The 9,768-nt window shown below is 32.1% G+C and overlaps 1 annotated feature.

Annotated features, from left to right (window-relative positions):
* Window positions 6,485-6,654: an enhancer, noted in NCBI's record as "experimental_74415 CRE fragment used in MPRA reporter constructs". NCBI's record gives its function as "activates a minimal promoter by MPRAs in K562 erythroleukemia cells, with activity observed for the non-introgressed 4:131173552 variant allele {active_cell/tissue: K562}" and the evidence as "EXISTENCE:reporter gene assay evidence [ECO:0000049][PMID:34662402]".

The following is a 9,768-nucleotide window of genomic DNA, read 5'->3' as shown; positions in this document are numbered from 1 at the left end:
GAATCTTCTCGATGCATACAAAAAACACATTAAGAACCTGTTTGACAGGGCTGTGTTGAAAATGGCTTTGAGCAAATCTTTGATTATTTAAGATTCTTAAGTCCTAGAACAACAAAGCAATCTCCTATTTATCTCAATATTCTGAAATTTTTAATTTGTAATGTGAGTCCTGAAAATCTGAGACTGGTCTCAGTTCATTTAGAAAGTTTATTTTGCCAAGGTTGAGGATGTGCACCCCGATACAGCCTCAGGATGTCCTGAGGTCATGTGCCCAAGGTTGTCGGGGCACAGCTTGGTTTTATACATGTTAGGGAGACATGAAACATCGATCAATAGATGTAAGATGTACATTGGTTCCATCCAGAAAGCCGGGACAATTCAAGCAGGGAAGGGGCTTCTAGGTCACAGGTAGGTGAGAGACAAAGGGTTGCTGAGTTTCTGATTAGCCTTTCCTAAGGAGGCGATCAGATATGCATTTATCTCAGTGAGAAGAGGGATGACTGAATAGAAGGGGAGGCAAGTTTCCCCCTAAGCAGTTCATAGATTGACTTTTCCCTTTAGCTTAGCGACTTCGGGGCCCCAAGGTTTCCAAGATTTATTTTCCTTTCACAGTAAATACACTTAGGAACATGGTGAAAGATATTTTTTAGATTCGTGTAGCTGCATCTCAGATTAATGATATCTTACATAGCAATCTGCATTATTTTCTAGTGATATGTAATTTCTGATGTCATTATTTTTGTACAAGATTAAATAACCAGTGCGTGACTTTTTGATCTTAACGAATAATCTAAATAACTTTTTAATTTATAAAATCATATGCTTACATAATGTGTGGTTACACATGATGCATTATGTGTGAGGTAATGCTCTTACCACATTTGCTTAAATTATCATTAAATATCAAAGAAGTCACTGTAATTTGAAACATAAATTAATGCAAAGGGAATTTTCTACCTCAAGATAATTAATGAGATTTTTAAATTACACCAAAAATAAATTTCATATGTCTTTCAAAGTATAGTTATTTTAGCTCAATTAAAATTGAATAAGAGGTAGTTTTAATCACATAAGTAAAGACCTGGCTCTGTGATTCGAGGAATGCAACTAACAAGAATCAAAAATATTTTGCCTGTCTGGATATTTCAGGCAAAGGTGTCTTTCAGCTAAACTTGTTTTGGAAATTCCTTCAATGGAACTGGCATAAGAGATATTCTAGGCAATGTGAATTATCAGTTTGGGCTGATGTAGATTCTATTTGCATCTAGAACATACAGGCACATTGAATAGACTGATCATGACAAATTCAGCTGTAGCATAGCATGGCCAAAACCCACCATAAAAAAGATGCTTGCACACTGAAACAAAACTAGAAAAGAAAGAAACATAGCTTTTGACAAATTACTAGGCATTTTATTTTAGGTAGTCACTTCCTTTAGAATGCCACTAGGGTTTTACTGGCTCCATTATCTTTAATTTCCCATAGCAGTGATTCATTCACGTTCCCTTATTCAGGCTTCTAAGATGAGTGGCATGAATCAGAGAGATGCCTTGAGGGATGATTAGGAAAGCATTTGCCCAAGGAACATGGTCACGAGTTCCTTGAGGGATTGAACTCATGTTCTTGGTCTCCTTAATATCAGGCTCTAAAGAACTGTGATAACTGGCCAGATATTACCATTCTATAAACTCAATTAAGCTATTATTTCCTAGAAGAACTTAGAAGGACACTTTTCAGCTTCATATGCCTTCAAAGCTCTCTGAATTTAAAAACAAAGTTTAAGAATATTAAAAGCACTAAAATTTATCTTGATTTCCTACAAGTGATATGTTTCATTCTACATTTAAACTAGGTAAAAGGCAGTCAGATAAACAGAAGGTTTTTTTTTTCTTCTAAACAGCAAAATGTTTATTTTGGTAGATAATCTCTTTCCTTAGTATGCCTTCATTTTCTATACTTTAAAATAAGAAATTTAGAAGCTGTGATGTTTCCTAATAATTTCTATAATAATATATTTTATTTTCTTTATTTCTTTGTCCTTTCGCAGACAATTTTCATCCGTTTGGCTAATAATGTTCTTTGCTTACCATCGCCCCTGACTTTCCTTTTTTACTTCCACAATAAAAAGATAGAAATAAAATATGTATTTTAACCAAATATGAAAAGGTGATCACAGTCTTTATATTTTCTTCTTTTTGGTAAGCTAGCTTGCCATAACAGAAGTTTTTGCTTACCAAAAAGATTTATTTCAAATTAGCAAAATTTTCAGAACAGAGAAAATGTGAACTTAATTTTTTTCTACTAATAAAGGGATTAGTTCACATAACGTCTCTCCTACATTATGTGGTGTTTGTAAGCAAGTGCAAAGTAAGCAAGATTGTTATTTAGCAGTAATAACCTATGTACAAACATCCATAAATAAAGAAATCAAGTATTCCAGGTTCTATGAGCCTTATTTATATAACTGAGTATGATATCACTAAAATTTACACTTTTGAGGTATCTGAAGAATACATAACATTGCTTTAAGAATGTGTGTGCCTATATATGTGCTTAGTTTATGAATTGACATTGTCTTATAAATTCTGATGCTGTACTGTACTTCATTGTAGGCATATATTATCATTTACCTACTCCCTTAACTGATAATAAACACCTAGACTCAGCCTGGGCACATAGCAAAACCTAATCTCTACAAGAAAATACAAAAATTAGCTGAGCATAGTGGTACCTGCCTGTAGTCCCAGCTACTTGGGAGGCTGAGGTGGGAGGATTGCTTGAACCTGGGATCGCACCACTGCACTTCAGCCTGGGTGACAGAATGAGATCCTGTCTGAAAATAAATAAAAAAAAAATAAAATAAGTAAAAATCCTAGATTGTTTTCACATCTTTTCCACTTGCAAACAATGTTCATATTGGTTTTTATGAGAACATAAACAAGGATTTTGCTGGTACTAAATGTATTAAGGTCTACCAAATGGCTTCCTAGAATGGCTGCCCTAGTTATACTTCTCAAATACACACATGCCTGCACCCATACACAAACATAGTGTATAAGTTTAGATCTTATAGACAGTTGGATTTTTATTCAATATCATATTTTTATTTGCATTTTGAACTTTAATTCAATATTTTTATGGATTAAAAAATTAACATGAAAGAAAAAACTATGAAGTTAGAGAACACATAGAAGAAAAATAATTTCTTAACATGCAAAGGGGGAATGCATAAGTCCTGAAAAATTTTATCACCTAATTTAATAAAATTATCTCTAAATTAAAACCAATATCTAGATATTTTATCAAGCTAATAAAATTGGGTTTTTCTTTAGTTCCTGGTAACACACCTCAAATCTCATGAAAGGTAATTTTAGAAAATCTATCCTGAGCATTGCACGAAAATAATCCACTGTTTCATGTATTGTTGGTTCCCCAGTTTGACTATACTTGTCATGAAACACTTAAAAGTTTTATTCATGAGTAAATACTTAAGCTGACAGTATATAGCTGTTAAAATAATAACTATTATATTTTGAAATATGTTGACACCTTAGGGGATAGAGAAGTCTAGAAAACATGTCCTACCCAGAAGTTACACATTCTCAATGCCCAAAGAGAAGGCAATAACATACATGGTTTCTCTCAGGTTAATTTGATTGATTTTGATAAATTGATCACAAAAATCAAATAGTTTTTTATTTCCAAAATGCCAATTAATCTCTTTATACTGAAATATCCTTTAAATATATGTTTCATTTTCATTGCTTCTCTTTCAATGTCCACACAAGAAAAGATAATGTAAGCAGTGGCACATGTTATTATAATAATAATTATAACACTGTAAGCATATTAATAATAATATAGTGATAGATACATTTATTAACTACCTACTGCATATCTAGGACTTTGTCTTTATTACCTCATCTAGTCTTTAGAACATCACAAAATAGGGATTATTATTACCATCATCAGAAAAAAAAAGCACTCAAATAGGTGGAGTAATTTGACAAATGTCTCACTCCTTATAAGAGACAGAAGCTTGACATGATGGTTCACACCTGTAATTCCAACACTTTAGGTGGTTGAGACAGGAGGATCACTTGAGCCCAGGAGTTCAAGACCAGCCTGAACAACACAGGGAAACCCTGCCTCTACAGAAAAATAACAAATAAATAAATTTGGCAGGTGTGATGTTCATGCCTGGAGTCCCAGCTACTGAGGAGCCTGAGGTGGGAGGATCACTTGAGCCCTGACGGTTAAGGCTACAGTGAGCTATGATTCCACCACTACACTCCAGCCTGGACAACAGAGTGAGACCCTGTCTCGAGAAATAGAAATAAAAAAATAGGCAGAGCCAGAACACTATGATTTCCCCAACTGTACTTTTTTCTCTCTATGTACACTTTCAGACATAATCCTGTGAAGGTTAATTTTATGTGTCAACTTGACTAGGTCATGGGGCCCAGATATGTGTGGTCAAACCTAATTTTGGTTGTTTCTGTGAGGGTGTTTTTGGCAGGGCTTATCATAAATTGGTGGACTTTGTGTAGATTGTCTTCTATAATGTTGGTGGCCCTCATCCAATTAGTTAAAGATCCAAATAGAACAAAAGGCTGACCTCCTCCAAACAAGAGAGAATTTTGTCAGATGATAGCCTTGGAAATTGAACTGAAACATCAGCTATTCCCTGGGTCTGCAGCAAGCCTGCCTGCCTACCCTGAGTAATTGGGACTTGCCAGCCTTCATAATTGTGTGAGCCATTCTTCAAAATGAATTTTTCTTCATAAATAAAAGATAGATAGATACCTACCTACCTACTTACCTACCTACTTACCTGCATACATGCATAGATACATAGATTCTATTGGTTCTGTCTTTCTGGAGAATCCTAAGACAAATCTTAGCAGTTATAGATGTGTTTGTGAACTCCAAGTAGCTTTATTTTATTAACTCTTCTATTTTATTATTAATTCTTTTATTTTTCCAAACAAGAAAGTTGAGACTCAGAAAGCTAACTTAGCTGAGGTTATATAGTTTTAGTATCAAAGTCAAGATGAGAGACCATTTTCTTTTTCTTACAGGTCTTTATACTTTCTCCTAAATTATTACCCTTTTGCAACATGAACTATCTTACAAGGATAACAAAAGACTTTGTAACTCACTTTATTACGCAGGTAACTGACAAGTGATTACATGATGTTTTTTCCTCACAAATAGAAAGGTGTTTCACAGTTTTATAACTCTGTTAAAGTTATTACTTAAAATTTCTTAAAAGCAAATTAGCAAGCAGAACTTGCTAATTCAAGTTCTGATTATGTTAATTTAAATGATAAATATATTATTCTTTCTCCGCCTCCTCCTTTTTCTCCTCCTCCTCTTCTTTTTCTTTGTCTTCTTTTTTTATTTAAAAAAATATGATTTTGTCATGTAAAGTAACCACATTTTTTTCCTCAAAATCTCTGAAACTTTATTTTATAATTTTATTGTTCGTTTAGTCCAGGCAAGAAAGAAGTCCAGACTAAGACTTTGTTGTCAACTGTTCTGTGGCCAACCTGTATTTGCTTTATCACTGCAAATGGATTCTAGATGTTTACCTATTCTCCTATTCTTACCCTTCATATCAGAGGAGATAACATAAATTCTCTCTATATTTCCTATATCTTATTATTTAGTTGAATCAATTATTGTCTTGTCTTATTTATTTATTGGTAAAGAAGGAGTTTCACCATTTTGGCCAGGCTGGTCTAGAACTCCTGACCTCAAATGAGATGTCAGCCTCGGTCTCCCAAAGTGCTGGGATTTCAGGCGTGAGCCACCACACCCAGCCTCATCTCTTTAAATCATCGGTCAAATATTTATTTTTAATACTGACATTTTTAAGCTACATTTTAAGCTATGTACATATCAAAATCTTTGCCCCACTATGTATTTCTGACAGGCAATTTCTTTGACCTCAAATAAAAACCTCCTGTCTACTTTATGTATAGTTCATATTGTAGGATTAAAGTTGTGGACAGAAACTCTTCAATAAATTCCCTGTAAAATAAAAAAGTGCAGGAGTGTTTTGCCTTAATATGGCCAGCACATTCTTCTGAAAGATCTTAGGTCTTTATACTTTGATCAAGGCCCCTATCACCAGCCAAAAAGGGATGCACTAATAATTTATGACCTTATTTTTTCTTTCATGAATTGGTGGTTTATCTTTTTTGGGTGGTAACAGTGACAAACATTAAAGAAAGACCTTGGAGATTTTCTACTAATCTATTCTCCAAAATGAAATATAAACCTTAGTTTTACTAAAGAGAGGCTGTCTATATTTATATTTATTTACATTTTTCCTGATGCTTGGGGATTTCCACACAATATCAACATAGTGTGTAAATTTAACATGATCTCAAGATAAAAAGCTGAATAAAAAGGACATTAACAATTTTCAGGAAGTCATTTTAATTCAGTCAAACTGTAACAAAAATTAATAGTTTTCAGGTTGAATTTTAATAAATGATTTTAGCCTCAGGGCCAACAAAAATATCTGTCTGGGATGACAGATACTTCTGAGTTTAAACCATCATGATGAAGTGGCCATAGCAAAGGCTAATGAAAGAGAAGCTATTAGTCTTTAAATTTTCCTAAGGAAACGCTACTTCTTTATCTTTGGATCTTCCACACTTAGCATAATCTGTAAATATATTTAAACGCATAACTTTAAACTTTCCCATTCTTCATGTCTACTTTACAAGCCTTTCTATATTCTATTTGTTCTAGATACTGTGCCAAGTTGGGAAATGAATCAAAGACACAATCTAAATTTAGATCAAAACGTTTAATATATTTGCTAATCATACTTTCTTTGGACCATCAAAGAGAATGAGGTAATTGAGCTTGTAATAGAATTTACTAATTTTTAAAAGAATGAAAAATTTCAGAATCAATAGACAAAATCCTTTATTTTCCAAAGAAGAAACTTGAGACTCAGAAAGCTAACTTACTGAGGTTATAGAGTTTTAGTATCAAAGTCAAGATGAGAGACCATTTTCTTTTTCTTACAGGTCTTTATACTTTCTCCTAAATTATTACCCTTCTGCAGCATGAACTATCTTATAGGGATAACAAAGGATTTTGTAACTCACTTTATTATGCAGGTAACTGACAGATGATTACATGATTTTTTTCCCCTCACAGATAGAAAGGTATTTCACAGTTTTATAACTCTGTTAAAGTTATTAATTAAAATTTCTTAAAAAGAAAATGGAATATTTGCCAATTCAAGTTCTGATTGTGTTAATTTAAATTATAAATGCATTTTTGAGTGTCATCATGTATATTTAAGACCTTCTGATTGTTGAAGTACAAGGAATTGGAGAAAAGATAAGTGTACTTCAAATGGTAATGCACTTCACATTTTTAGTGTAATGCTTTAACCCAATGTTTATCTTTAATCCCTTCATAATCCTTTAAAAAATGATGTCTATGACATGTTAGTAATAAACTACGTTAGTTGCTTATAAATTTATATGATCTATAATAGGATTTTCCAATACTATGTCAAAAGCATTTATTTCATAACTCCTTTTAAGTTCCTAACATAAGAACACTTTGTACAAGTAATTAAGGGAATGGAACATACCTAAATTTAGTTACATTCTAAAATCATTCAATTTAATAAATTATACATCTAGCTACTATGTGACCTTTGAAAAATTTTGCAATGTAGCCAAGTGATCAGGAAAAAGGGTTGTCCTTGAAACTGATGTGATTCTTAAGGATATAGAATACTTTTAATACATCAATAATTAACTTAAAATAAAATTGGTATTCTCTCCTTCCTGTAATTTTGAATGCTGTAGTTACAGTAATACACATCCTTGACCTCTCAAGCTGCCAGGTAAGGAAATTTCGCTTTTGCCTGCTAGATTCTTGACACTATATTTGGCAGGAGCTAACAAGTTTGAGAATTGGGAAATGACCAGACATACTTAGTGAGAGAGAGTGGGGGTTGTGGGGGGAAGCAGATAGATACAAGGGGACAAGAATTTTAAGAAAACTAGATATAGATTGCCAAAAAATAGAAATAAGAGAAGCAAAAGAAGATCAGTTGCCATGGGACTAATGGCAGATACATGAAATAGACTAGTTACTGGTATTTATGGAATGCTTGTTATTCTTAGTTCTAAGTAATTTTTCTGTGCTTCGAATCATTTAATTTTCAGAACAACCCTAAAATATAGGTATGTTTAGTCTTATTTTTCACAAAAGGAATGATATTCACCAAAGGTTACAAAAAGTGTTTAAAGTCACAACTACTTATTAATGTAGAAATTAGAACTCAAATCCAGATATATGACTCCAGAGTTTACATTTTTAACGAAGACACCAAGAAAGATCTTAGAAAAAATTATGTGGTATTAAAGTGCAATTCTTCTTTGAAATATTGAGAAACTATTGGCAAAATTAAGAAGTTAATCTAAAGAACTTCTTGATTGTGGTTTATTTAATGGGATAGCATGCCAATACTGTGTCACATGGTAGTTCATCATTATAAAAATTACATATATATTATTTGATGATACTTATCTAATATCTTAATGTAATGCACTTGGCATGCCAGTGAAATTAATCAAATCAGTTACAATTAATTTTATTGAAATGCCTTACAATTTTACTCTATTTACAGTACATATATACTTAATGTCATTCAAGAACGACAACACACACCTCTATCCATGATGTTCCAGTTGTACTTGTCATACTGACAAGAAACTTTCTATAAGGAAGGAATAGATACTTAGTATAGTAGTGGAACATTATTAAAGATATCAACCAATCTACATTACACACACATACACACACACAAACAATAGAAACCAACCCAATTGTGTTTCATGAATCTTAAAAGATTGCATGTGAATAGTAATAATGCAACTTTTGCTAAAATATAAATTTTACCTATTATATCTATTTTATTATGTAGTTTATTAGGATCTAATTTGTTGTCTCTAGTTCTGTAATTGCAAAGGCAATCTTTTTAAGAGGGCACAATTAATGAGACAATTAAACACATTATAATGCAGTGACTTTTGTATTTTATTGTGACAAATAAATTTATACATCACTATTTTCAAGAGTAAACAGAATAAAAATTATAAGACATTTTAAGAAGAGTATCTGTAATTGATATGATTAACTTCATTGGCATGTCATATACAGTATAAAAGCTACAAATAATTGAAGTCATTAAAATAAAAGGAAAAGATCATTTTGTCTGTGCTTATGTGTATGTGTGTTTGTGTTTAAATATATGTGTGCATGGTGTATATACATATACAATCTGCTATGTTATTAATTTAGGTGTGATTTTTAAAATATTTTGAATTGCTTAAACAATTTACAATATTGAACTGAAGATTGCTTTATAAGGAAGTTTAGTTTTATCATCACAGCTGATATAATGAAAAAAATTAAATTAAAAAGAAAGTCTTTGGAGTTTTGCTATTATTCTAGACATCTTTTTCTTTTATTGCTTATTCCTTTTATTTTTTCATTTCCCGTTACTTAATAAGAATTGTAATTGTATTAAAGTTATATAAGCCTATGAAGAATTATTCTTGATTATTTATCTTTTACAGAAATTATACTATATTCATTTTAATATTTTCTGTTTTGTATTTTAGCTTGAGATGGGTTTATGCTTCCTTAGTCTGTGGAGGGAGGCAAGGTCATGCTGTGCAGTCATTACTTGCAGGAAAGAAGACTGCCACGTGGGCTTC

Source organism: Homo sapiens, chromosome 4 (assembly GCF_000001405.40).
Source record: "Homo sapiens chromosome 4, GRCh38.p14 Primary Assembly".
Lineage (NCBI taxonomy): Eukaryota > Metazoa > Chordata > Mammalia > Primates > Hominidae > Homo > Homo sapiens.
This window is presented reverse-complemented; position numbering and strand designations above follow the sequence as displayed.